The sequence below is a fragment of the Homo sapiens genome, chromosome 17 (genome assembly GCF_000001405.40).
Source record: "Homo sapiens chromosome 17, GRCh38.p14 Primary Assembly".
Lineage (NCBI taxonomy): Eukaryota > Metazoa > Chordata > Mammalia > Primates > Hominidae > Homo > Homo sapiens.
In genome coordinates this window covers 47,869,219-47,897,017 of record NC_000017.11, presented here as the reverse complement: position 1 = coordinate 47,897,017, position 27,799 = coordinate 47,869,219, and the positions used below count along the sequence as shown (strand labels likewise).

Genomic DNA, 27,799 nt, shown 5'->3' with positions numbered 1-27,799 from the left:
TCAAACTTCTCACAATTCTGCTAAGAGCTTGCAGATATCTAGCTGGAAGATCAAGGATCCAAGTAAAAACATTAAAGGAAGGTTTTTGCCCACTCCCCGGTGAGAGGTCATCTGCCCAGGGAGTGCTCTCGTGTCCTGACACCATCGCCCGACTGGGGATATATCAGTAACCGGGCTGTCGTCGATGCCGAGCAGTGCCCATCTGGTTGGCAGCGTCCGGGTCTCAAGCGTTCCCTCGCCCCTCTCTGTTCTCCGGGGAGCCCTGAATCGCTGGTGGGCATCTACAGTTAAGAGTGCAGGAAGGCCTCTCAGACACGGGGCGAACACAAGGGCTGTTGGCTGCCTCCTCAGAGCCGACCCAGGCATAGTTCGCCCAGGCGGGAGAGCGGCGTTGAAGTGGGTCGGCACCCGTCCGAGGGGTGCCAGGCCACCCCGGTGCCCGCTCCTCTCGCCGGCCCCCGGAAGCGCCGCCCTCCCGCCCGGCGGGCTCCGAGGGGGCGGGGAGTCGAACGCCCCCTTCCGGGTGCCTCCGCCCGGCTGGCCAGCCCCGCTCCTCCTCCGGGCGGGAATCCTCCCTCCCCCGCCCCTCCTGAAGCCGGGCCCCGACGCCAGACCCAGCCCCAGGGGGGAACCCCCGGCCTCGGCTCCCTCTCCCCGCGGCCTCTGCCCGTCTTCCTGACCCTTGGGGGCCGGGAAGACCCCGCCGGCAGCGGCCGGGACCCACCGCTCATTACGACATCTTCCTCCCTGGCCTCCGCCGCCTCCGCCGCCACCGAGAGCCTGACACCGCCCGCCAAGCAACCGCCAATCCCGGAGCCCGCCACCGCCCGAGCGACGGCAGCCTTCACCAATAAGCGCTTGGAACATTGGGGACCGACAGCACTATTAACCAATCAACCAGAGGCGTCTAGAGCGACGTTGATTTGACCAATAGGTCTGTGCAATGTCACTGATGGACGGTAGAGCGCACCAACCGAAAGCCAATTGAATAATGAGTGACATGTGCATCAGCCAATTGGAGGGAGGCAAAGTCCCGCCCGCTGGGTGGTTGATGTACAGCAACAGGAAGCTGGAAGGGGAGGGGCTTAGCCGAAGAGTGCTTTTGTATTGGTCGAGGTTGACCTTCCACCCACCTCTAACCCAGAGGATGAATGATAGATCTGCCCTGAAGCCAATCAGAAGTCCTTAGGGTGAGGCCCACAAATGCCCCAGAAATAGCATATACATTGCGCCCTAAGTCCAGTCTCGCCCAGGTGTGGCAGGAGCTTTTACCTGCTCTTCGGCAGTAGCCGGCTGCCACTCAACCCCATGCCTGGTGAGTGGAAAGCCATCAACCTTTTATTTAGTCCCTCTCTCGTTGTCGCCTGGGGAGGGGCGACTTTGTACAGTGAGGCACTGGGGTCCGGCACCATAGTGGGAGTTGGGGTTGTTTACGCGACACTTCTAAGGGGATTTTCACAATCGGTTAAGCCCCCGTTAATCCTCACATGGTTATTGCGGCGACCCCCATAGCCCACGGTCCCAAACGTGTGCATCTGAATCATCCGAAGCTCTTTCTAAAGGCAGGCTCCCCTGGCCGCCTCTCCTAATCCGACTCGGTACTTCACGGGGCGTGCCTAGAATCTGCATTTTAGCAAGGGCCTCGCGTGGACAGAATTGCACGCTTGAGTTTGAGAAGTACTGCTTGGCCTCTGCCCCACTTACCCTTACCTTCTTGAGATGAGGTAAAGCACTTGGTAGGCACTAGGCGGGTAGGTTTATCTTTGCTCCCAAGTCTCTTCCGAGAACTTGGGAAGGCTGCCTAGCTTAGTGAGGGAATCCATTCTGGCTTCAGACCAGTCTGGGTTTGAAACCTACACATCCCACTAACTTAGGCAGGGTACCGAAACTCCCTGAGCTTCATGTCCTCATCAGTAAAACGAGGTTAATCACACCTACACCTTAGCGCGATGGCTTAAAAAAAAAAAAAAAAAAAACAAACAAAAAAAAACATAGTCCATCAAGAGAAATACATTTTGCATACAGACCAGTACACTGCTATTTGTATGAGAGTGTCATAAAGTTTCCGAAAACAATGCTTACTACTTGTGACGCACTGATAGTTTCTATGCTTATCCTATCCTATCTTATTCTCCTTCTTGTTGATCATGACTGGCAGTTTGAAAAACACTGCTAGAAAAGGTTGGTGTGATAATACAAAATGCAGAGCAGAATACCGGGTACACAGTAATTGCTGAATAAATGTTAATAGCCTCTTCCAGTCTTCTCCTCTCAGTGTTAGCCTTTGAAAAACAAGACTTTAGACAATAATACTCCTCTAGTAAAGATCCTTCATGGGATCCGTATCTCCTAGATAAAGCCCAAACTCCTTTCTAGGCAAAGTCCTCCCACTCTTTTTTCTTCTTAACCTCAGCATCCACCAGAGGACACACTCTTACTGGTGTATCTTTCATGCTTTATCTCCTCCCTCTACCCCCGTTCCCTTCCTACAAATCCTACCCTTTTCCCTCCAGGAAAGATTCCAGGTTCCTAAACACTTACGCTTTTTTCCACTAGTTGACTTCCTATGTGACCCTTCCCTTCTGGTAAACCCCTATGCATCCATGGCCGGATGTGTTGGCTCACACCTGTATTCCTAGTGCTTTGGGAAGCCAGAGGCAGGCGGATCACTTGAGCCCAGGATTTCGAGACCCAGCTTGGGCAACATGGCAAAACCCCATCTCTACAAAAAAAATTAGCTGCATGTGGTGGTGCGCACTTTTAGTTCTAGCTACCTGGGAAGCTGAGGTGGGTGGATCACTTGAGCCTGGGAGTTTGAACTTAAAATGAGCTATGATCACACCACTGCACTCCAGCCTGGGTGACAGAGCGAGACCCTGTCTCTCAGAAAAATAAATAAACTCCTATGCATCCTTCAAGACCCTGCTCAAAGTCTGCATACCTCACTCCTGCCCAGCCATAGCTTCTTCCTCCTCTGTGCTGCCCTGGCACATGCAAAAGAGCTTCTCTCTCACACACTATTTCCACACTTTTATTCTCACTTCTTACTCTCCTGCTAGACTGAGCTGTGGTAGAAGGATTGAGGCCAGCACAGAGGAGGATCAGCAGGAAATGTAAGGTGAGTTAAAGAATGAATATTTGCATACAATGACACCTGCATGACTTGTTTGTATAGTCCATACATTCTGTTCCCAGGCCATTTTTCAAGTTTAGATTGCTTCACTGTCAAACCAAGGACTCCACCCGGGTTCCATGACTCACCTGTATTAGGGTGCAGGGGTTTTGGGGGGAGGTAGGTGGGGTTGAATATCCTGCTGGGCCACTGTCAAACCTCTTCTGGGAGAAAAACGGGGTAGCTATGCTTCTCCTATCCTGGAGGCCCCATCATGAAGACCGCAGAGGTGAAAAAAAAAAAGTGTGCGCACACGGGGCGGAGGACAGGGTGTGAATACTTGGAAGAATTCTGCAGTAGTTTTGAATTATTTGATTGGTTTTGCCCTTTTAAAGGTCACCTTATCCTTGTTTTGTTTGTTTCTAGGCTGTCTGACTCTTCTTACTAGAGACACAGCCAAAGAAGGGAACCCTTTGTTTTTTTTTGTTGTTTTTTTTTGTTTCTTTCTTTCTTTTTTTTTTTTTTCCCCGAGATGGAGTCTTGCTCTGTCACCCAGGCTGCAGTGCTGTGGCGTGATCTCGGCTCACTGCAACCTCCGCCTCCCAGGTTCAAGCGATTCTCATGCCTCAGCCTCCTGAGTAGCTGGGATTACAGACACGCACCACCACTCCCGGCTAATTTTTGTATTTTTAGTAGAGACAGGGTTTCACCATGTTGGCCAGGCTGGTCTGAAACTCCTGACCTCAAGTGATCCACCCACCTCAGTCTCCTAAAGTGCTGGGATTGCAGGTGTGAGCCACTGCACCCGGAGGAAGGGGACACTTTCTAAGAAGAAGACCCCGTTATACTTTTGTCAGGCCCATTGGAGTCTTAGAGCTTCCTTCACAAACACCCCCGCTCCCCCAGTGACCACACAACTCCTCAGAGATTTTTTCTTTCAAGATGGCCCCTGTCTTCAACAGAGACGGAGAAGGTCAGGCAGCGGCTTGGAAATGCTTGTGCTCTCCCGGCCACACTTTATTTATTTATTTATTTAGAGACGGAGACTTGCTCCGTCGCCCAGGCTGGAGTACAGGGGCACTATCTCAGCTCACTGCAACCTCTTCCTCCCGGGTTCAAGCGATTCTCCTGCCTCAGTTTCCTGAGTAGCTGGGATTACAGACGCGCGCCACTACGCCCGGCTATTTTTTGTATTTTTAGTAGAGACGGGGTTTCACTGTGTTGGTCTGGCTGGTCTCAAACTCCTGACCTCACGATCTGCCCGCCTCGGCCTCCCGAAGTGCTGGGATTACAGGTGTGAGCCACTGTGCCCCGCCTTTATTTTTATTATTATTTTTGAGACAGGGTCTCTGCAGCCTCAACCTCCTGGGCCCAAGTGATCCTCCCGCCTCAGCCTCTCAAGTAGCTGGGACTACAGGTGCGCGCCACCATGCCCACCTAATTTTTAAATTTTTTGTAGAGCTGGGGTCTCCCTATGTTGCCCAGGCTAGTCTCAAACTCCTGAGCTCTAGCGATCCTCCCACCTCAGCCTCCCAAAGTGCTAGGGTTACAGGCGTGAGCCACTGCACCCGGCCATGGCCACACGTGAGACTCACTAAAAGAGCTTTTAGTAAATTCTGAAGTCTGGGTCCCATCCTAGGAAATTAGAATCTCTGGGGGGCATCAGCATTAAGGAGTTCCTCAGGTGATTCCAATGGGCAGCCAAATGTGGAGAAGGACTCCTTAGCCCAAAGATACCTTCCCACTGGGGGTGCCCAAGTAAAAACAAGGAAAAGTCTGTGCCCTCCACCCCCACCCACTCCTGTCCCTCGCCTTTCTGAATTTCTCCTCTTCCTACCCTACCTGCTGCCATCTTCGCAGAGCCAGGGCCAGTGGGTGGTTCTGGCTGTGTCTGTCAACCTTAACCAGGGGCGACATCTCCTCCCTGGTGTGTCTGGAGGCAGGTTCTCTCAGTGATATTTCCCTTTTGTCTCCAACTGCTTTCAGTTTCTTTCTACTCTACATTGTCACTTTCTCTCCATTTCTAACTTGCAAAGCTACACATTCTCCACCACTAAAAACCCCATGCTTGTCTTGTCTACCATGGCACCTTCCATTCCCAGCACACTGCTTGATTATAGTAGGTGCACAGTAAATGTTTACTGACTGACCGAATGACTATATCCTTTTAACACTTCTCAGGGACTTACCCCTTCTCTTTCAGGCCCAGCTTCTTCCACTTCCACTTTACTTCTCCTTCCATGTCTACCTCTGAATCCCCTTCTTTCTTCACTTTCCTGTGCTTTTCCTGCTTCCTGACATTCTCTTTGTCCTTTTTTGCACAGGGTTGTCCTCATCTAATCCGTCAGTACCAGACAGTGAACATCTCTCCCCCAGGATGCTGAGGGAGGGTCCTGGAGGGAAGGATGTGGAACTACAGCCTCTGCTCTCAAGAAGCTCAGATCTGGGCAGGGAACATCACATACCAGGGCTGTCTGTCGGGGGGGTGGAGGGCTGGGGGAGGGATAGCATTAGGGGAAATACCTAATGTAAATGACAAGTTGATGGGTGCAGCAAACCAACATGGCACATGTATACCTATGTAACAAATCTGCATGTTGTGCACGTGTACCCTAGAACTTAAAGTATAATTAAAAAAAAAAAAAGCTTCAGATCCCTCCTGGAGCCTCCTATGAAACCACGTGGCATAACTGGTGCTGTTGGTCCAGAAACTAGAAGAATATCAGGCCAGCCCCCTTGACTCTCTGTTGGTCCTCACTCATAGCTACAACCCAAGCTTTATTGTTGGTGTTTACCTTTGAAGAGTTACAGCCGACCCAGCCTTCTAAAGACTGCTTGTTTTGCCTTAAGGATTTCCCAGTAACCTCTGCTTCTCCCCTTTTCCCCTCCTATGATTTTCTATTTTCTCATCTCTTCCCTTTCTACTTATGGGGAAATCAAAATTGCAGACTTCTTCTTTTTTTTTTTTTTTTTTGAGGTAGTGTCTTGCTCTGTCGCCCAGGCTGGAGTACAATGATGCGATCTCGGCTCACTGCAACCTCCGCCTCCCAGGTTCAACCAATTCTCTTGCCTCAGCCTCCTGAGTAGCTGGGTTTACAGGTGCGCATCACCAAGCCCAGCTAATTTTTGTATTTTTAGTAGAGGCAGGGTTTCACCATTTTCGCCAGGCTTGTCTCGAACTCCTGACCTCAGGTGATCCACCCGCCTCGACCTCCCAAAGTGCTGGGATTAGAGGCGTGAGCGACTTCTCCCGGCCCAGAGTTGCAGACTTCTAACCCGGACTCTCTCATATGCAGACCCACAAAAATATCTGATGGGACAAACACCTAGCTTGGATGAATTTGGGTAATTTTTTTTTTCCTCCTAGGGTCCATCAATGATTTCAGGGATCTAGGTTTCCTCAGTCTTCTGTGAACATGAAACATTGACAGAGGCTATAAGATGTATCTCCCTGTTACACCACACCCCTGGTGCACACATACAGACACATCTCTGTCTTCACTGCCGGGGATGCCACTCCTGACCCCTGCCCTAACTCGTCAACTTCCTCTGCCCCTGGTTCCCCTGTCCAGGCCGATGGCTCCCCACCAACTGCCATGGAATCTTCCAGCAAGGACATTCCACTCATCCTTCCCCACAGGGTTCTTCCTTCTTTGCTCCTTCTTTCTACCCCCAGTCTCCCTGGGGTGGGATCTGTGGAGCCTCAGGAAGAAAGGGCAGGGCCCCAGGTAAAAGGAGCCCTTTAAGGTGGAAGGCAGGGGTGCCTCCTCAGCCTTTGTGTGTCACCACCAGGGGGCGCCCAAGGCATTTCCAAAGCAGCTGCCCAGCGTTCACCTTACAGTAACACAGGGCGGACAGGGAGATGCAGTTTAACAAGCAGCTATTGAGTGCCTGCTATTCCCCAGGAATGGGGCCTGCTTCATTCGGAGACTGAGAGTGGGTTCCAGCCTCTACAAAGAGACTCCTTAAAAAGAGCCATTTGGGCCCGGGTGCAGTGGCTTACCCCTGTAATCCCAGCAATTTGAGAGGCCAAGGTGGGTGGATCACCTGAGGTCAGGAATTCAAGACCGGCCTGGCCAACATGGCGATACCCCATCTCTGCTAAAAATACAAAAATTAGCCAGTCGTGGTGGTGCATGCCTGTAGTCCCAGCTACTTGGGAGGCTGAGGTAGGAGAATCGCTTGAATCTGGGAGGCGGAGGTTGCAGTGAGCCAAGATCTTGCCACTGCACTCCAGCCTGGGCGACAGAGTGGGACTTCATCTCAAAAAAAAAAAAAAAAAAGACAAAACAACAAAAAAAAAGCCATTTGGGCCGGGCATGGTGGCTCATGCCTGTAATCCCAGTACTTGGGGAGGCCTAGGGCAGGAGGATTGCTTCTTGAGCCCAGGAGTTAGAGACTAGCCTGGACAACTTAAGGAGACCCCCATCTCTACAAAAAAATTTAAAAATTAGCCAGGCTTGGTGGCTCTCAACTGTAGTCCCAGCTACTTGGGAGGCTGAGGCAGGAGGATCCCTTGAGCCTAGGAATTTGAGGCTGTAGTGAGCTGTGTTTGCGACACTGCACTCTGCCCTGGGTGACAAAGCAAAACCCTGTCTCCCTGTCTGAAAACAAAAACAAACAAACACACACATTTGCCTCTTCAAGGAATTGGTTTCCTACCAACCAGCTCCTCTTACCTCCCCGGGTAGCAGCATCTTCTCTCTGCCTCTGCCCCTCCCCTGCACTCCCCTGCTCCCCACCTTTCCCGACCCCATTGACCACAGCTCCATGTGGTGCCCAGTCTGCTTCTCGTAAGTCCCAGCTGCCCACTGCAGACTAGAATTGTCCCCAGGGACAAAGGGAGGCTGAGAATGTCCCTGGCGAGGCACTGCCCTCTCTCCCTCTGCCCGTCTCCCTCCTAGGCCCTCACTTATGTCAAAACCACATCTCAGTCCCATTGCTAGTCTCCTGAGGGTTCCCCAGAGACCCTGAGTGTGGAGGGTGTGGGTTCAGAAGGACCAGGGCTGGGCTCAGGAGCAGCACTTGTCACCTGAAAGCACTGACCTGGCTGGGAGAGACTCGGGAAGTGGGCCATGGGGGCGATAACAATAACAATAATCATATTAATAATAACACTGGGGCCCACAAAATGGCTGTGAAATGCCCGCTAATGATCCCTTATATTTATAGATCTCCTTCTCCTAGACACTTCAGAGCCATTGCCCAATTAACCCCCCTAGATTCCCTAGAAGGGACAATTAACCCCATATTTTATGGCTGGGGAAACCTAGGCTCTGAGAATGTGATGGAGTTGGCTGAGGTCGTCCAGTCCATTAGTGACAGCAGAATTTGTGGAGCAGCCCTCTCTCGTTCCTTTTGTCTACATCCACATGCACTTATGCTGGGCGTGGTGACTCATGCCTGCAGTCCCACCAGCACTTTGGGAGGCTGAGGCGGGCGGATGGCTCGAGCTCAGGAGTTTGAGACCAGCCTGGGCAATATGGTGAGACACTGTCTCTACTAAAAATACAAAAAAAAATTAGCTGGGCATGGTGGTGCATGCCTGTGTTCCCAGTTACTCAGGAGGCTAAGGTGGGAAGATCACTTGAGCCTGGGGGGCAGAAGTTGCAGTGAGCTGAGATCGAACCACTGCACTCCAGCCTGGGAGAGAGAGCAAGATCCTGTCTCAAAGAAAACAAATGGCTGGGCCCAGTGGCTCATACCTGTAATCCCAGCACTTTGGGAGGCCAAGGTGGGCGGATCACCTGAGGTCAGGAGTTTGAGACCAGCCTGGACAACATGATAAAACCCCGCCTCTACTAAAAATGCTACTAAATCTCTACCATAAATAAAGAAAAATGTTTTCTTTTTCTTTTTTTTTTTCTTTTTGAGATGGAGTCTTGCTCTGTCACCCAGGCTGGAGTGCAGTGGCACCATCTTGGCTCACTGCAACCTCTGCCTCCCAGGTTCAAGCAATTATCCTACCTCAGCCTCCTGAGTAGCTGGGATTACAGTCATGCGCCACCATGCCAGACTAATTTTTGGTATTTTTAGTAGAGACGGAGTTTCTCCGTATTGGTCAGGCTGGTCTCGAACTCGCGACCTCAGGTGATCTGCCGGCCTCGGCCTTCCAAAGTGCTGGGATTACAGGCGTGAGCCCCTGCGCCCAGCCCCAAGAAGGTGCTTTTTTCATTTTTTTCTTTTTTTTTTTTGAGATGGAGTTTTGCTTTTATCATCCAGGCTGGAGTACAGTGGCACGATCTCGGCTCACGGCAACCTCTGCCTCCCGGGTTCAAGCGATTCTTCTGTCTCAGCCTCCTGAGTAGCTGGGATTACAAGCGTCCGCCACCACGCCCAGCTAATTTTTGTATTTTTAGTAGAGATGGGGTTTCACCATGTTGGCTAGGCTGGTCTCAAACTCCTGACTTCAGGTGATCCACCTACCTCGGCCTCCCAAAGTGCTGGGATTACAGGTGTGAGCCACCTCGCTCCGCCAAAGGTGCTTTTTGCTAATCTGAACTCGGGCATGTAAAGTGGGAATATGCTCTGTTTGAAGCAGGAGGGAGTAAAGTTACCTAATCTAAGAACTTCCTTGTTATATAAGGTTATGCAGCCTAGGCAACGTAGCCAGATGCCCCATTTCTACAAAAAAAAAAAAAAGTAAAAATTAGCTGGGTGGGTCGGGCGCGATGGCTCACAACTGCAATCCCAGCACTTTGGGAGGCCAAGGCAGGTGGATCACGAAGTCAGGAGTTCGAGACCAGCCTGACCAACATGATGAAACCCTGTCTTTACTAAAAATACAAAAGTTTGCCAGGTGTGGTGTCATGTGCCTGTAATCCCAGCTACTCAGGAGGCTGAGGCAGGATAATTGCTTGAACCTGGGAGGCGAAGGTTGCAGTGAGCCGAGATCACACCACTGCACTCTAGCCTGGGTGACAGAGCAGTGAGACTCCTGGAAAAAAAAAAATTTAGCTGGGTGTGGTGGCATGAGTCTGTCGTTCCAGCTACTTGGGAGGCTGAGGTGGGAGGATCACTTGAGCTCAGGGGGTCGAGGTCACAGCAAGCACTGATGGCTTCACTGCACTCCAGCCTGGGTGACAGAATGAGACCCTGTCTCAAAAATAATAATAAAATTTAAAAACAGGCCAGGAGTGGTGGCTCACGCTTGTAATCCCAGCACTTTGGGAGGCTGAGAATGGCGGCTCACCTAAGGTCAGGAATTCGAGACCAGCCTGGCTAACATGGTGAAACCCCATCTGTACTAAAATTACAAAAATTAACTGGGCATAGTGGTGAGTGCCTGTAATCCCAGCTACTTGGGAGGCTGAGGCAGGAGAATCGCTTGAACCTGGGAGGTGGAGGTTGCAGTGAGCCGAGACTGTGCCACTGAACTCCAGCCTGGGCGACAAGAGTGAAACTCCGTCTGAAAATAAAAATAAAAATTAAATTAAAATAAAATAAAATAAAAAGGTTGAGCGGGTGTCTTATGCCTATAATCCCAGCACTTTGGGAGGCCGAGGCAGGCGGATCACGAGGTCAGGAGATCAAGACCATCCTGACTAACACAGTGTAACCCCGTCTCTACTAAAAATACAAAAAATTAGCTGGGCGTCGTGGTACGCACCTGTAGTCCCAGCTACTCCGGAGGCTGAAGCAAGAGAATCGCTTGAACCCAGGAGGCGGAGGTTACAGTCAGCGGAGATTGCGCCATTGCACTCCAGCCTGGTCGACAGAGCGAGACTCAGTCTCAAAAATAAATAAATAAAGTGATGCACTGGAGCAGGTGACCAATGGGGCAGTGAGGCAATGGGGACAATATGAACACAGGCCTGGAGAGAAGTTTCTGAAAGGCTTGGATGCTGGGGTGTGAGGGGGTTCTGCGTGGGTGGGTCCCTGCATTGAATGAGCCGCCGTGCACACCAAGGTAACCATAGACTTGCCTGCCTTTTTCAAGCAGCTGGTTCTTCTCGCAGGGCCCCACCCACCAGCTCCACTCCTGACTCTTCTTCTCCACTCCCACTCTGGCCTCTGACCCATGCAGCCTGGGCCTGAGATGGTCCCTCCCCAAGCTCCTGGTTTCACCTCTGAAACTCCAAGGCTCCACATTGCTGAGATTTTACTATGGCTCCCAGCTGGGTCCCACCTTTGATCTGGCTTCAAAAAATAAAAAGCAGTACCAGGAGAGTAATTTTCCCGACCTGCTCGGGAGGAAGGCAGGCTGGAGGCAGGTCCTGACCAGCCCGGCCCACTCCTGGAGCCTGGAGTCAGAAGCTAGTGGCAGAGGGGGCAGGGGACAGGGGAGCAAAGCCACCTTTCCTCATTAACTTCCTCCCCTTCCTTTCTGGGGCACTGACCTGTCTCTTCCTTCCCTTCCCAGCCTGCCAATCAGCAGGGAAAAGGATGATACAGCTGCTTCCCCCACACCCCTCCTGAGGCTCTCCCCACTCAACCTCTTGCCTCTTGGGCAGCAGTGCCTCAGTCCTCTCTCCACACTGTTCCCCTGGCCTGTCCCTGGGGGGTGGGGACCGAGCACTCAGGGTGGGGCCTGGTAAGGGACAAGTCTGTGCCCCCTGGCTGAGCACCTGAGACATTACTCAGTTGGCTGTCTCAGCGCCAGCTCTGGTCTTGAGGGACTGGACTGAGGGGTGGGAAGGGGAAGGTCCAGCTTTTTATGGGCCTTCCTGCCCACCCCTCTCCGTGGTGCTGCAAGCCCTGGCCCAGGATTTCCGTCTTTCAGCAGCAGCACCTGCCCCTCCCAGTTCAAAGGCTCTGGCTCCTCACCTGTTCTCAGGGTGCTTGCCTGGTCCTTTTAAGTGGTTAGCAATGCACCCCACCCCCACCCTGCTGAGGGTCTGGGCTTCTCCGTGCAGGTGGGGGACCAAGGTGATGGGGCACAGAGTCCAGAAGCGGCAGAAACACCCTTCAACCAGATGAGCTGTCCCCAGTAGGCACAGGGCTACCGCCCTTCCTTTCGGTGGGTAGGGAAGGAGCTGGGGTCTGGCCCTAGAGAAAACTGGCAGCTGGGTTTGGTGGAGCAAGGGCAGAGGGCATGGGGCTGGGGCCGGGCACTTTCCATTTGAGAAATTCCTGTCTCAGCTTTTTAGCTCATTGACTGAGATGAGAGATGGCTGCTAAGCACAAGGGACGTTCTGTTTTTCCGTCTTTATTTTCCTATCCTTGTACCCCGTCAGGTAAGACTCCTACCCACATGCACATTGTGAAAGCATTCCCTAAATATTGGAGCTGGCAGAACCCACTCACTGCCCCCTTCCAGGCCCCTGGGCTTGTCAGGGGTTCTGGCCACTGCTGTGCATTCCTTGTCTGGGCAAAGGAACAGTGAAAGCCCGAGCCCCACTTTCTCCAGGGGGAGGCCCCTTCTGGAAGTTGCCCCACCTCCACTCTCCCCTCGCCTTGCCCTAGGCACCTCTCCCTGACCTGGGGGCAGAGAGGAGAGCTCGGGGAGGGGGAGGAAGTTGGGAGCCACCTCGTCTCCAGGTGGGGCGGGGTCCCAGCAGCGATAACCATCTTCTTGGCAGCTCCAACCTGTTCTATTGGTATTTTTTTTTTTCCTAGAGGAGAAAGGTGAAGGCCTTGGCGGGGAGTTATTCTGGCTCTGAAGTGTCCTTGCAGCTCCCCAGGCCCCTGCAGGCCTTGTGCAAGAGCTGTAAATCTCTCACCACCCACAGGCCTGGGGGGGCCTGCCGCTGGGACTTTCATGTCCGGAGATTTTATGCCTTTGCTCCTCTGTTGGGCTCCATAGCTCCTGCCTGGGGCCTCTCCCTAGCCTGTAAAAATCCAGTCCCATAAATCTCTGCTGCCCCCCAGGAGCCAAGCAGAGTTCTTCCCACTCCAACTCCCACTCATAAGCATCTCTCCCCTCAAGAGACCACAGTGAAGTGGCAAGGTCGAAGCAAAAGGTTTCCAAGAAGGGCAGCAGCTAAATGGGGGTCTTCCTGGGACCTCCTCCGGCATCAGTCTCTGCTTGGGTGGGATTGGACTCTGTAACTGAATGGTCTGTTTCCAGCTTCAATGCTGGAGGGGCTTCTGGGGGTCTCTGGTGGGGAGGCCCTTGGCCTCCACTGCCTATTAGTATCCACCTGAGCCTCCCGAGACAGGTGGCTGTCTGTCTGCCAAGCCCCCAGGTGCATTGGAGGTGGCAGGCAGCCCAGTGACTATGCTGCTTTCCTGGATCAAAATGGGAAACCCAAGGAAAGGGAAAGGCATAACAGTGGCTGAGGCCTGGAGGCTCATGGATGGACTGCACGGTCCAGTGGATTCTGGGGTAAAACACAGTGCTTAACTTCTTAGTCTGATGGGGGAGACTGTGCACTCGTCCAGGACCTGGGCATTGAGAAAGGGGCCAGATTGCCGGCACTGGGTAGGACTCAGGGCAGGGATGATACTGTGCCTGGGAACGTCCCATTAGAGAAGAGGAGCACCAGACTGGCTTGGGAAGGAGGAAGAGGCGAGAGCTGCAAAGGGAGCAGGGTGTCCCCAGCAGAAAGAACAGTTTGTTCACAGGTTCCTAGGAGAGAGGATGTGACCTGGGTGGGGGGACGCCAGCATGTTTGCCAGGAAGGTGAGGAGCCTGGCTCCACCCTTCCTGGAAAGACATGAGAAGGAGAGAGTGGCCTTCATGCTGAAGGTGGGGAGAGGTAAGGTGGGCGGTGGGAGGGAGAGCTCTATGGTGGAAGGGCTTGAGTGGGATGCAGCTGCTCAGGAGAGAACCCAGGCCAAACTCTCACTGACCCTCCTGGCCTACTGGGATCTCACTGCCAGATGAGCAGACATTGGGAAGCCCAGGATCTCTGTTCAAAAGTCATCTCACTCACCCACCCGCATCCCCGCCATGTCCAGATTCTGACTTGCATCCCATCTCCCCATGCCCACTGCCAGGCTGAGCTACTGCTCATGGCTACCATTTATTGAGTACCTACTGCATGCCAGGCACTGCTCCAAGCTCTTTACATGCGTTGACTCATTCAAGCCCATTTTCCCTATGAGATAGGTCCTATAATCAGCCCCACTTTGCAGATGAGAAAACTGAGGCATAGTGAGCTTAAGTAACTTGCTCAAGATCACACCACTGGCTTCACAGTCAGGATTCCAGCCAGGCACCTGGCTCTAGAGCCCATGTCTCCACCTCTGCCCTCTGCTACAGAAGAGGCTTCACCACCAAGGCCCGGGGAAAGGGTGTCCTCTGTGCCTCCTCCCAACTCCTTCAGAGGCCAGTGGGGTTGGCCCTGGACATTTGGAGAGAAGCCTGCCAGTTATCCTCTTTCCACAGGGAGGGGGCAGTTGTAGCCTAACGTTCTGGTGCTTTCTAGGGGTCCTCTGCCTTTTGGGGTATGCTCACCTCAAAGGCAGCATCAGGGACAAGCTCCTGATTCCCACGGGGTGCCCTGCTTCCGCTAGTGCCCAGCAACCATGGGGAAACTGGGCAATAGCAAAAGTGAAACTGACTCAGCCGGTTTCCCACCCCTGCCAAGGGAAATGGGGAGCAGCCTCGGCTGGACAACAACCAATTAGGCACTTTTTATTGCCCACGCTGTCATAATCCTCAGAGCTTGGCTACGATGAAGGAGAGGAAATAGGATAGGATGGAATTCCAAGATGCCTTTAGAGTTCATCCCAGCCATTCCCCTGCTTCTAGATGGGAAAGTTCAAATACCATCCACAAGAACTTTCCTCCAAGTGAGGCCCTTAGCCCTGGAAGTCAATAGGCCTTTGCATCTATTGCATCTAACAAGAATCATTCAACCTCATAGAGGGGTTTTCTCCTGTCCTTTGCTCCAGCGACTCAGGGAAGACGAATCTTATTTGTGTTTTTTCCCAGGACACGGTGGGTGGGGAGCTAGGCTCATGCAGTCGTGAAGACCTCTGGTACCACCTGGATGGTGGCATTAGGGATCAGGGAACTACTGATTTTTCAAGTGCAATCTGACTCCTCTCTCAGACTAGCAATTCCCAGAGGACAGAGGTCTTGTCTCCTCCCTCAGACTGAAAGCTCCTGGAGAAACTGCCTTCCCTCACTTCCCTCTCTTGTCCCCTGCCCCTTCTCTCAGTTGCCCAGGGCAGAGCTTTGTCCACAGAGGGCCACTCCTGCTGTGCATAGAACCTTGACTGTGTCGGTGACTCAGAGGGGGTTACAATCTGATTGGGAAGTGCTACCGTGGTCTGTCGGTGCCTCCATTTCCTCTTGTGTAGAATGGAGTTGTAATGAAGATTAATTTTTTTTTTTTTTTGAGACGGAGTCTCGCCCTGTTGCCCAGGCTGAAGTGCAGTGGTGCGATCTCGGCTCACTGCAAGCTCCACCTCCCGGGTTCACGCCATTCTCCTGCCTCAGCCTCCCGAGTAGCTGGGACTACAGGCGCCCGCCACCACGCCCGGCTAATTTTTTGTATTTTTAGTAGAGACTGGGTTTCACCATGATAGCCAGGATGGTCTTGATCTCCTGACCTCGTGATTCGCCTGCCTCAGCCTCCCAAAGTGCTGGGATTACAGGTGTGAGCCACCACGCCCAGCCATGAAGATTAAATTTTTAAAAAGCATGTGCCTGGCTCGTGGTAAGGGCTCAGTAAATGAGAGCTTTTATTGCCTTCAGGACAGCTGGCGCCCCTCCTAGCTTTCTGCTTATCAGAAATCAGGATGGGGAGATCCAGCAGCCTAAGCTTAGAAAGGTAGCCTTCAAAATGAGAATCACAGAAGCCAGCCAGCCTAGCAGCCCTATGCGGGTCTCGGGCTGAGACCCTGGTGGACAAGTGAAGTCCATTATCTCCAGGAGGTAGCAAGGAGATCAGTAGTCAGCATGGGCAACCTCGGAGATCTTCAGCAGACAGGGTGGCAACGAAGATGGATTTCAAGTTAGGACCCAACTGCCAAGGCAGGGCAGAGCAGACAAGGGAGAGTACATTTCGTTGCTTCATAACACCTGGGAGGGGTATGGTGGTTCCTTTTCCAGGGTGCTGGTGGTCTTAAACCTAAAAGAGATGTTCATCAGCATGCTGGGGGGTTGTGGCAGAGGCTGGGGGAGGGATGCAGTGACTTTTCCAAGATCACGGATTCCATAATCACCTGAAAGAAGGGGAAGGGACAGAGAGAGGTGAAAAACACACCCAGGCTGAGCAAACATCCACCTTCCCTGTCTTTTTTTTTTTTTTTTCTTTTTCTGAGGCTGAGTTTCACTCAGTCGCCCAGGCTGGAGTGCAGTGGCATGATCTCAGCTCACTGCAATCTCCACCTCCTGGGTTCAAGCAATTTTCTTGCCTCAGCCTCCCAAGCAGCTGGGATTACAGGCGCACGCCACTATGCTGGCTAATTTTTTGTGTTTTTACTAGAGACGGGGTTTCACCATGTTGACCAGGCTGGTCTCGAACTCCTGACCTCATGTGATCCGTCCGCCTCGGCCTCCCAAAGTGCTGGGATTACAGATGTGAGCCAACGCACCCGGCTACACCTTCCCTGTCATGGGCAGACATACACCCCTGGGTTCAGAGTGTGTTCGTGCATGGATGGATTCAGGGCACAGAAGGGGACCTAGAGGTTGGCAGCTGCTGTGAGGAAGAGGAGACATTGTCTCCCCAGTTGGTTCTGTCCTGAGTAAGCACCCTGGATGAGGCTGAGCAGGTGACACCTGGCATGGAGCCAGGCCCTCAGGCGAGCAGGGTGGGCAAGTGGGAGGAGGGGAAGTGCAACAGGACTTTATAAGAGATGAGGCGGACCCCTGCATCCTTCTGCCTTGGGCCTCCAAGGAAGGAGCAAGTGCGAATGGGGAGGTGGGGCAGGAGGAGGGATTCTGAAGCTCTCTGGAAAATCCTGAGTGTAGGGGAGAATAACTCACTCTTCTTTTTCTCAGCATGGACTTAATAAGTCATGTCCCAGCCTGGGCAACATAGCAAGACCCTGTCTCTACAAAAAAAATAAATATAAAAATTATCTGGTGTGGTGGCGCGTGCTTCTAGTCCTAGCTACTCAGAAGACTGAGGCTGGAGGATCGCTTGAGCCCAGGAGTTTGAGGATGCAGTGAGCTATGGTCATACCACCGCACTCCAGCCTGAGCAACAGAGTGAGATCCCAACTCAATAAATAAATAAATAAAATAAAATCATGTTCACTGCTAAATATATACAATTGTAATTGGCCAACTAAACAAAAAATAAGCTGGGTGCAGTGGCTCACGCCTCTAATCCTGGCACTTTAGGAGGCTGAGGTGGGAGGATCACTTGAACTCAGGAGTTTAAGACCAGCCTGGGCAACACAGGATGACCCCATCTTTACATTTTTTTTTTTTTTAATTAGCTGGATGTGGTGGTGTGCGCTTGTAGTACCAGCTACTTGGATGGCTGAGATGGGAGGATTGTTTGAGCCCTGGAGGTTGAGGCTGCAGTGAGCTGGGATCACACCACTGCACTCCAGCCTGGGTGACAGAGAGAGACCCTGTCTCAAAAACAAAAAAAAACAAAAAAAAACAAAAAGAATGGGAATTCTTTCCCTTATGCTTCCATGTTTCCCTGACTTCCTTTGGGTGATCTGTCTACTTGTGAAAATCTTTCCTGAGCGGAAAGGTGGATGGACCTCCCCTCTGCCACCTCCTCCCCTGCCAGCAGTCAGCTTCCTGTGCTCAGTGCAGGGAGCAGATCTAGAGGAGACCCTGTCAGGGAGCAGTGGTTAGATAGGGGAGGCGTAGTTCTTGACCACAGAGATGTCTCAGCCTGAGTGGGAAGACAGAATACATCCCTGATTCATCAGCAGAGACCAGAAACAAGGGCAGACAGCAACTGAATGGAATTATTGAGGTAGTGCTGGGAGAATGGGAAGAAGATACAGGGAAGGGGCTGAGTGGAGTTATTGGGGGAAAGCTTTCTAGAGGAGAATCTGAAATTGATTTGGCAGGGGATTGGGGGAGAGGCTAGTAAATGCCATTTACCCCCAAACTATGCCCATTCACCGGAGGAAGAAACCACCTAGGACTTCACTGTAAATCTGAGCCAGGATTGCAAATCACCCCCTTTTCCCCAGGCTCGGGTTGTGTGCTCAGATAAGGTGCCAACAATGGGGCGGGGCCATGGGAGGGGGAAACATGGGCTCCCTGGCCCATGGATGACCCAAAGTCGCTTAAATGAAAAAGAGAGGGGCGAGTTGAGCAGGTCCCAGTCTGGGTCTGGCCACTGTGAGTCAGGAAGCCGGGCAGTCTGATCCCATGAGCCAAATCCCTGAATCTCTGGGGCTTTAAAGGCTCTGAGTGTCCGGCCTCAAAGCCACCGACAGGTATGGATCTGCCCCCTCCCTGACCCCCTCTGCTTTCTGCCCTTTTGGTGCTCTCTGACCTCTGACCCTGGGGCCCAAGGAACCCATTCTGTCTGTAAGGCTGAGTTCAGTTCTGTCCCCATGCAGAGATTTGGGGTAGACCCAGGTAAAGATGGCAGAATGAAGGGGTGCTGGCAGACAGACACAGGGCAGGGAGAGGGAACTGAAGGAATCAGGGAAGTCAGAGAGCCCATGTTTCCCAGCTGATGGGAGGCGGGGCAATTCCTGGTGGCCCCTCCAGCAGGCACAGTGAAATTTAACCCTTCATTGGAGGGTGGCAGGAGGAGGTTTGTGAAAGTGTGGATGGGTAAGGAGACGGTGGAGGTGGAGAAAATGGAGCAATTAAGATGGGTCCCCAAAGACCCCTTTATTTGAGTGCTAATTGCTGTTAGAGGAAGTAAATTTGAAGGAAGTATCAGGAGGCAGCACCCTTCAGCTCTGGGTCTGACCCCTTAGGGACATCATGGGGTCCCCCATCAATCCCTGCTCTGGATAGACCCAAGTCGGGGCAGCCCAGGGTGTCTCTTCAGGGACTTCAAAGGCCTTGACTTAAGAAGTCTTCTCAAGGGGAAGGACACCCTGTTTTGTTGGGGGAGAGAGAGAGAGGGTGTCTATTGAGCCTCTGGACACTCTCCTCTAGCCCATGGGAACTGGCACTGCCTGACCACCTAGGGGAGGCTTGGAGCCTGGCTGAGCCCCAGTCTTAGGAGGGAGGGAAGAGGGTGGCGAGGGAGTGGGATGTCTCTTCCGCCTGGTAGATTAGTGACTCTGAGACAGGAGAGGGCCTGTCACCGGGCCCATAAATAAAGCAGCCGAGTCTCTCCCTCCATCTGTGTTTATCTGTCTGGCCTTGAGTTTCCGGGAGAGGAGATGTCTCGGCACCCCCAGCATCAAACACCAAGCGCTGGAGGGGAGGAGGGGCAGTCTCCCTCCCTTCGCCTTCCCTCTCAACCTCTATTCCTGCTTCCTCAAATCTCATCCTCTGAGGCCCTCCCTCTTCAGCCTAGACACTGACTCCAGGAAGCCCTCTGAGACCAGGGGGTCGGGGCTACAGAGTGGGGAGTGTGGTCTGGGGTCTCTGCCACCTTTTCCCATTAGTGCCCACCCTTTGTAGACTGAGGAGAAGGTGCCTTGGGGCCCAGAGAGAAATGAAAGGTGGGAATCAACAGGGTGCTGGGAGGCCTCTGTGGAAGACCCTCTGATCCCAGGGAAGGGTCCAGGGAAGCCCCCAAGTGATGGTGAAGGGCCAGGGGGGACCTGCAGGCAGAGAGAGCCTGGTGGATCCCCAGCCCCTCTCAGGGCATGGCAGGCCATGAGGAGAAGACCCTGCCTGTCACCTCCTATCCTGGCTAACTCTTCTTGACAACACCCTCCCTCCCTCCCTCTTTCTACCTCCGTGGATCCCTGAAACTCCAGGCTGTTCTTAGAACCCAGGACCTGCCACCAGGGCTTTTCAAAGTGTGGTCACCAGACCACCTACAGCTACATCACTGGGAAGGGGAAGGGGAAATGCTTGTTTCTTTTTTTTTTTTTTTGTTTTGAGACAGAGTCTTGCTCTGTAACCCAGGCTGGAGTGCAGTGGCACGATCTTGGCTCACTGCAAGCTCCGCCTCCTGGGTTCATGCCATTCTCCTGCCTCAGCCTCCCAAGTAGCTGGGACTACAGGTGCCCGCCACCACGCCTGGCTAATTTTTTGTATTTTTAGTAGAGATGGGGTTTCACCGTGTTAGCCGGGATGGTCTCAATCTCCTGACCTCGTGATCCGCCTGCCTTCGGCCTCCCAAAGTGCTGGGATTACAGGCATGATCCACCGCGCCCAGCCGGGGAAATGCTTGTTTCAGTGCAGATTCCTGGGCCCCCATAGACTCACTGGATCAACAGAGGCTTGAGGACTTGGGTTTTTGTTTTCTTTTCTTTTTTTTTTTTTTTTTTTGAGACAGAATTTCACTCTTGTTGCTTAGGCTGGAGTGCAATGGTGCGATCTCGGCTCACTGCAACCTCCACTTCCTGGGTTCAGGCAATTCTCCTGCCTCAGCTTCCCAAATAGTTAGGATTACAGGCATGTGCCACCACACCTGGCTAATTTTTGTATTTTTAGTAGAGACGGGGTTTCGCCATGTTGACGAGGCTGGTCTCAAACTACTGACCTCAGGTGATCTGCCCACCTCGGCCACCCAAAGTGCTGGGATTACAGGCGTGAGCCACCGCGCCCAGCTGAGGACTTGGGTTTTAATGGTCATCCATGGTAATGCGGGTGTAATTCAAGTTTGAGAAACACCTATTTTCCTACATGAAGCCAGCCACTCTTGTTCACCCCATCCCCACTGCTGAGCTCGGGGCCCAGGACATAGTAAGTGTTCAATAAACATCCATTGATTGAATGCATTTCTAGACAGTGTCTATTCCTTTTTTCACTCCAGGTCTTCTTCTCTTCTTCAACCACCTCGAATCTACCAGAGGATCCCAAGTCCCTGTTTTCTGCTAAGGTGATAATTCCAGAATATGTCAGCCAGACCCACAGTGACACATGTCTTTAAACAGAACATGGTACTCACAGAAACACTCTAATGGTAGGGTTTTTTGGCAACAGGGCAGGTTAGTGGGGAGCTCACTGTGACAGGGGAGGCTCCTCAGTTCTTCTCAGAGTCCACAGGAACCACCTGCTTCACTCACCCTCAGGGAATGATGGTGGGGTGCAGGGCTCCTGTGCTGAGGGCAAGGAGTGTCAGGACCCAGGGAAGGGGAAGATCAGAGAGAAGGAAAAAGATCGAAAGTGTGTGAAAGAAGAGCCACAGTTAAAGGAGGTCTAAGGGCAAAAGGAGAGCACTGTTACACAACTCAGGTCAGTGGCCCTGGAAAGTTTTCAGAGAATCAGGCATCCCAGCCAGGAATGCACAAGCAAGGAATGCACTTCTCTCCACCCTCGGTTTCCCTGAATGTCCATCTCAGGAAAAAGAGGTTCTTCCAGACGTTGATTCCTCTCCTGGCATCAGGGCCATCCAGCGTTGCTGCTTCATTGCCTCTGGTTTGGATTGCATTTGCATTAATTTGCTTGGGCTGGACCAACAAGTATATGCAAATGGATATGAAGTGGTGGGTTCTCAGGGCAGGGAGTCTCCCTGAGGTGAAGATGGAGACCTGGAGGAGGGAGGCACCGGGAGTTGCTGGCGCTAGAGGGGGCCCCCCAGGCTTGCTTTGATAGCCTCTCTGGCTCAGAGGGGTGAGGGCAGCCTACGATGTTAACAGCCCTGGCACTGCAAGCCCCAGGAGGCCTTGGGGGGGACTGCGGAACAAAGGACTCAGGCATTCTGAGGGTGGCAAGGGCAGCTCTGATGGTATAGGGCAGATGAGCAGGGTTCTCAGGCCCCCCCGGGGAAGCAGGGAGCCTGGGAGCCAGCCCCAGGAATGCAAGGAGATGGCAGATGGCAAATACTTGCCCTGAGGCCCTGGAGAGGGATGAGGGTGGTAAGAAGCTGGGAGAAGAGGAGGAGGAGGCAGATGCCAGGCCAGAGTTTCTGAGAAGAGAAGAAGCCGGGTGGGAGAGGGGAAATGACAAAGCTGCCCCCCTGGTGGTGGCAGGGGCCCGGAAAAGGGGGCTGAGGGGGAGCTGAGAAAGCAGTCAGTGAAGACTTGGGAGAGGCAGCTGTCTAGGCCCCTCTCCCCTGTGGAATGGCTCCTGCTGACCACAGGTTTGGGCAGGTGGAGGGGGCAGAGTCCTCAACTTTAGGGAAAAGTATTAATGGTAGACACACAGTCCCACCCTAATGGGGGCTCTCTGGCCTCAGAGAGCTACAATATACTGGAAAAGATGCAGCCTGTGTTCTTGCGAAGCCCCCAGTCTAACGTAAGAGATAGTCTCTGTCTCCATCCTGGGTGCAGGTGGGGGCACAATGAGGATCCCACATGCACTCTCCAAATTACTTAGGAGCTCTCCCAGCCCATATCAGCAAGGGCAAACGTACAGGACCAGTGAGCCCTTCCTAGATGGAGAGAACCCCAACATCAGCAGCAACCAGAGGTCAGCAGGGCTAACTCAGTGAGGCCTCCTGAAGGGAATTGTTTTTTCTTCTTTTAGAAAGGAGGTCTTGCTCTGTTGTCCAGGCTAGACTCGAACTCCTGGGCTCAAGCAGTCCTTCTACCTCAGCCTCCCAAATACCTGGAATTACAGGCATGTACCCCCTGCCTGGCTCCTAAAGTGAATTTTGAGGAAGATTTTGAAAATGAGGCTGGGTGTGGTGGCTTACATCTGTAATCCCAGCACTTTGAGAGGCCAAGGCAGGAGGATCACTTGAGCCCAGGAATTCGAGACCAGCCTGGGCAATATAATGAAACCCAGCCTCTACAGAAAAAAATTTTTAAAATTAGCCAGGTGTGGTGGTGCACGCCTGTACTCCTAGCTACTCAGGAGGGTGAGGTGGGAGGATTACTTGAGCCAGGGAGGTTGAGGCTGCAGTGAGTTATGATTGCTCCACTGCACTCCAGCCTGGGTGACAGAGTGAGACTGTCTCAAAATAACAAAAAAGAAGAAGAAGGAGGAGGGAAGGAGGAGGGAGGAAGGAGAAGAAGAAGAAGAGGAAGAGGAAGGAGGAGGGAAGAAGGAGGGAGGAAGGAGAAGAAAAAGAGGAAGAGGAAGAAGAAGAAAGAGAGGAAAGGAGGAGGGAAGAGGGGAGAAGGGAGAAGAGAAGGAAGAAGAAGAAGGAAGAGTAGGAGGCGGAGGAGGAAGAAGAAGAGGAGGGGGAGGAGGAAGAAGAAGAGGAGGAGGAGGAGGAAAGCAAGAAGGAAGGAAGGGGGGAGGGAGGGAGAGAGAGAAGAGAAGAAAAGAGAAAAGAAAAGGGGAGGCCAATGGCTGGGGTTCATCCTATGTTGGCCTGAGGCAGAGAGTGGTGAGAGCTGGGGAGGATGACAAGCAGAGCATTTGGCTCAAGGACCCTTGGCAGCAATGCGGGATGGCCCTGACGCAGGGAGGGGCTCAACTCGGGAAGAGCCTTTTTTCCCAGAGATAGCCACTTGATATTCAGAGAAATTGAGGCTTGGAGAAGATAAGTAACTCTCTCAAGATTACCCAGCAAGTTAGAGGCAAAGCTGAGACCAGAGATCAGATTTTAGGACTCCCAGTTCTGTGCTCTTTCCCCTCCCCCAGCTGGCATGCTGTTAACCTAGGGCTGTTGTCAGAAGCTTCCAGGAGGCCTGTCATTCTCCAGGTGGGCTGTTAGGGCAGGGGAAAGTACCTTAATCTCTTAAGGCCTCTTTTTCCCCATCTGTACTTTGGGCTCTTTCATCTGAAGAGGGGAAAGTCCTTTGCAGATGGGTCCCAGGTGAATCTAAGGTATTGTAGGACTTAGTTTTCCTGTAGGGATGGGTGGGTGGAAAGGGAGAAGGAGGCAAGCAGAGGCTGGGGGTCCTCCAGCTGATCAGGCCTGGCCTTCTTCCAAATATGCTTGATTTGACGATTTTTGAAGGGGAGATAAAAGAAGATGTATTTGCATTTGGTTTGCATAGCAATTGTGTGAATTCCAGGTCTAGGCCAGAGCTCTGGAATCTCCCTGGCTCCTGCTCCCTCCTCTGTGGTTTCCCCACCTGCCTGAGAGCCTCCCGGTTGCCAGTTGTGTGGCCACAGCTGGAGAAGGGGGGTTCAGATGTTGGCCACTGGCTTCTCCAGGACCCAAAAAGCCCCTTCCGCCCTCTCCAGCCCCGGTCCCAGGACATTCTCGCTTCCCTGTGGGGTCCCCAGGAGGTCTCCTGGATGCCTTGTGGGAGGCTCCGGGCTGGCTGAGGGCCGGCTCTAATCAGGCTGGGGCCTCCTACGGCTCTGCCTTCCCAAACAGGGACCTCCTCTAAGGGTAACCCAGCGGGAGTCCCTCGGGGCCCTGCCCTTGCCGCCGGGGGGCTGGTGAGAGGGGTCTCTGCACCCCACCCTCCGCGTCCTCAACGGAGGCTGGGTGCTCAGCTGCAGTGGGCCGGCAAAGGGCTGTCCCCTCCCACTGGAGCCAAATAATTGCCTCTTGCTTTGTTGTGTGGTGTCTGGGGCCCGGGGCCTCTCATTTGTGGGGACGTGCTGTGGCGAGAGCCTCCCTGCTAATTACCCTCCTCCCCATCGCCGCCGCCGCCGCCGCCACTGAGCCTCCTGCGTCCGCTGGGCCTTACTCACCCCCGCCCGGCCTGTAGCTCCCCCCACGGCCCAGACGCAGGGAACTCCCCTCCCGGGTCCCAAACTGTCCTTTCCCGGCAAACAACCTCGCTGGCTTCCCCCAACACGCCTGCAAGCCGGCTCCGGGAGGAGCAGACCCTGCCGGGGTTTGTCTCGGGGAGAGAGACCTGAAAGGATATTTCTGGTTTGGATACATCCCCAACCCGGACCTCTGCCCGAGAACCGATCTGGGATTGGGCTCTGGGCACGCGCCTGCATTGTGCAACATCTGGACAGGGGTTGCACCTGTTGGGACTTGTTCCCAGTTGAGGTTGGAACTACCTGCGACCCTGATACCTGGGAGAAAACACCCCATGATAGCTTCTCTTTTTTTCTTCCCCTTTTCCTATTTTTCAACCACTTGTTTACCTATTTGCTGTAAAGGAAATGAAAGAGAGGGAGACAGAGAAATAGATTGGGCCTGAGACAAACCCACACCCCAACGAATCAAACCTAGAGAGGGGATCCCAAGAAAGAGCTACTCTTCCAGCAAAGAAACAGACCAGAGGCCGGGCGCGGTGGCTGACGCCTGTAATCCCAGCACTTTGGGAGGCCAAGGCAGGTGGATTGCCTGAGCTCAGGGGTTCAAAACCAGCCTGGGCAACATGGTGAAACCCCGTCTCTACTAAAAATACAAAAAAATTAGTCAGGCATGGTGGCAGGCACCTGTAGTCCCAGCTACTCGGGAGGCCGAGGCAGGAGAATCGCTTGAATCCGGGAGGCAGAGGTTGTGGTGAGCCAAGATCACGCCACTGCACTCCAGCCTGGGTGACAGAGCAAAACTCTGTTTCAAAAAAAAAAAAAAAGAAAGAAACAGAAACAGAGACCAGATGGGGATACAGAGGCAGGAACACATGCTATGCAGAGAGTTGGAGGCACAGAGACAAAAAGAGAAATGGAGAGGTTTTCACTTATCTTAAGTGGAGACGAAAGAAGACCTAGAACAAACAATTATAATCACAGAAAGCAAACTTCTCATTCTTATTAAATCTTGAGTAATTCTTAAGAAAATGGGCCAGTGAGGTTGAATGAAGACTGGACTTGGAGGGAGAAGTGGGGACAGATAGTAAGAGGTATTGGTATGAGCCAAGACTCTTAAGTTATGAACAGACAGTCACATATCACAATGGTTTGCACACAGTAGGTGCTCAATAAATGATGACAGATGCAGGCAGATAGCTGACTCCTCTCTTCTAGGGCCAGAGCTGAAAGCTTAAATGATAGTAATAGGGATATAGGATGGGCTTCTGGAGGAACTTTCCAAGTGTGGGCACCATTCATTCATCCAGTAAACATTTATGGAATGCCTACTGTGTGCCAGACACTGTTCTGGGTGCTTATGATACAATTAGTGAACAAAACAAAAATCCCTGGAATACTCGATCGAGGGTTATGAACTCCACCTGCTAGAAGGAGGGTCAGAAGAGAAGAATCCCTCTTCTCAGCACATTTTAGGGGAGCTAATTAGGGAGGATGAGTTTGGGGGCAGGGAGTATGAATTTTCCAGAAAACTAGGGAAGGTGAACCCCAGACTCTAGGTTATAGAGCCCATCAAACCAGTGGAGAGAAAGTTGCCAGTGGGACATCACTGAGTTCAGCGCAGGAGGAGGTGGATGTTCCTGAAGTCACACAAAACCGGCAGAGTTTCATTCTCTGGCGTGGCTGGGGGTTCTGGGGTGCCAATTAGGAAACCCGGATGTTTAGGATCCCTTCCCAGCTGGATACCCTATGTCAAGGACAAGTACCTCCATGTGTTCATGCTTGGGTGGTGAAGTTCTTTGCAGTGAAAACCCAGCAAGCTTAGGACCCCGTAAACTGATCTGATCTCTCCCTGTCTCCAGACAGGTCAGTCTTTAAATAATCCTGGCTTTTGTTCACCCCCTCCAAGGACTTCTTACCACCCCAGTTATCAGGAAGTCCAGCTCAAAGCCCTCTCCCTCAGTGGCAGGAGGGGAAATCAATGCCTCCTGCCTTTTTCCTGGGTGGAGAGAAAGAAGCAGGGATGTCATTTGATGAGGTGGGGACCAGCAGCTTCTTCACAAACACTCTCCACCCCTCCAAAGCTATCTCTTTTAGACCCTGAAGCAGAGGAGGGAGATGAAAGGGACAGAGCTGACCACGAGAGGTGGAGAGGGTAGGACCCTGACTGGGAACAGATTTCAGGAGCAGATAGTGGGGGTAGGGCAGAGGACAGCAGGGATCCCAGTTATCTCATTGGTTCCCTTGGCATCAAAGCATTCATTGGTTTTTAGCAAAGTGAAATAGGTTAGTGTGTCTGAGGATTGCAGTGGGGATGGGGGTAGGGAATAGGGTGTATCAATGTGTTGGCTCTGCACAGCCTCCTGTCTTTCTTCCCCCTACACACACACAGTCCAGAAATTCTCTGAGAATCTAGCCTCACCAGGGCTTCATTCTGGAGCAAACTCTTTGATCTTCCAACTGAGGAAAGAGACAAATGTGAGAGCCCCTTAAAGGAATCATAAGACAAAGTATTGGCTTGATATGTAAAAATGTTTAATGTAAATGTTTATTGAACTATGAAATGCATATAGAAAAGTGTTATAAATATAGAACATACATAAATCATAAGCACAAAACTGGGTGAATTTTCACAAAATGAACATACCTGGGTAACCAACACTCAGCTCAAGGAACAGAAGGTTACCAACACCCCAAAGCACCCATTATCCCACCTTCAGGTTATTAAACCCCCCAAAAGTAAGGAATCTCTATTCTGACTCCAAAGAGTGTAGATTAGTTTTTCTGGCTGTTTTTGACCTTCAAGTAGGTGAGATCATGCACTGTGTTTACGCCTTTAGAGCCAGCCTCTTTCACTCTGAGTGTCCGTGAGATTCGTCCTTTGCTTGAGTTTGAACCCAACTGCAATAGGAGGGACAGGATGCATCAGGATTATCCCCCTTTGGGTGTCAAACTCAGGCTCTCCTGAGATCCCTGTCAGCCCCCTTTTCAGAGTTTGGTGTTAGCACCCTCAATTTGCTGTACCTCCAGACTCCCCAGATCCCAAACAGGATGAGGACTGGGAGATCCTGCCCTCTTGGTCCTCCTATCCAAGCTAAGATCGCTGGTCCCAGACCACACCCCTCCAAAGGGATTCCAGAGGAAGTCCCCAACCTGGGCGGGGTTAATTAGATGGTGCTTTGAGATCTCAGGATGAAAGGACTGCCTAGGGCCATTGTCCTTGGCCTCCT

At 52.4% G+C, this 27,799-nt stretch overlaps 2 protein-coding genes and 1 long non-coding RNA gene across 17 annotated transcripts in view, besides 5 other annotated features; 2 read left to right on the top strand and 1 right to left on the bottom strand.

The window, feature by feature from the left end:
• SP2 (Sp2 transcription factor) overlaps positions 1 to 782 on the bottom strand; it is a 35,496-nt gene extending 34,714 nt beyond the window's left edge. For 7 of the 15 annotated variants that reach the window (XM_006722025.3, XM_006722027.3, XM_011525143.2 and 4 more), the window contains exon 1: positions 725 to 782. Coding sequence is in view for 4 of the 15 variants with exons in the window: in XM_006722023.3 (XP_006722086.1) it covers positions 725 to 731 (7 nt within the window). In the remaining 11 variants the exon portion in view is untranslated. Of the gene's footprint in view, positions 1 to 171; positions 282 to 680 lie in introns of all 15 variants that reach the window. The other 8 variants (XM_047436573.1, XM_047436571.1, XM_047436570.1 and 5 more) reach the window with 2 other exon arrangements.
• Positions 283 to 712: a silencer, noted in NCBI's record as "silent region_8644". NCBI's record gives its function as "represses an Ori minimal core promoter by ATAC-STARR-seq in GM12878 lymphoblastoid cells {active_cell/tissue: GM12878}" and the evidence as "EXISTENCE:reporter gene assay evidence [ECO:0000049][PMID:35858748]".
• On the top strand, positions 1,202 to 5,789 carry SP2-DT (SP2 divergent transcript). The gene is made up of 3 exons (NR_135480.1): positions 1,202 to 1,315; positions 3,060 to 3,118; positions 5,437 to 5,789. It is a non-coding gene; the product is annotated as an SP2 divergent transcript (long non-coding RNA).
• Positions 2,261 to 2,555: a silencer, noted in NCBI's record as "tiled region #4370; HepG2 Repressive non-DNase unmatched - State 2:TssF". NCBI's record gives its function as "represses a minimal TATA promoter and a strong SV40 promoter by Sharpr-MPRA in HepG2 cells {active_cell/tissue: HepG2}" and the evidence as "EXISTENCE:reporter gene assay evidence [ECO:0000049][PMID:27701403]".
• Positions 6,817 to 6,986: a silencer, noted in NCBI's record as "silent region_8643". NCBI's record gives its function as "represses an Ori minimal core promoter by ATAC-STARR-seq in GM12878 lymphoblastoid cells {active_cell/tissue: GM12878}" and the evidence as "EXISTENCE:reporter gene assay evidence [ECO:0000049][PMID:35858748]".
• Positions 10,810 to 11,343: an enhancer, noted in NCBI's record as "H3K4me1 hESC enhancer chr17:45963041-45963574 (GRCh37/hg19 assembly coordinates)". NCBI's record gives its function as "activates a minimal SCP1, AML or CMV promoter by ChIP-STARR-seq in primed H9 embryonic stem cells {active_cell/tissue: H9 hESC(primed)}" and the evidence as "EXISTENCE:reporter gene assay evidence [ECO:0000049][PMID:30033119]".
• Positions 18,933 to 19,510: a transcriptional cis regulatory region, noted in NCBI's record as "candidate enhancer chr17.3283 targeted for multiplex CRISPR interference". NCBI's record gives its function as "positively regulates SP6 gene expression with high confidence in K562 cells {active_cell/tissue: K562}" and the evidence as "EXISTENCE:mutant phenotype evidence [ECO:0000015][PMID:30612741]".
• The window catches only part of SP6 (Sp6 transcription factor), a 31,404-nt gene continuing 24,311 nt past the window's right edge, over positions 20,707 to 27,799 (top strand). The window contains exon 1 of the mRNA XM_006722115.4: positions 20,707 to 20,889. The gene's annotated coding sequence lies outside the window, so the exon portion shown is untranslated. The remainder of the gene's footprint in view (positions 20,890 to 27,799) is intronic.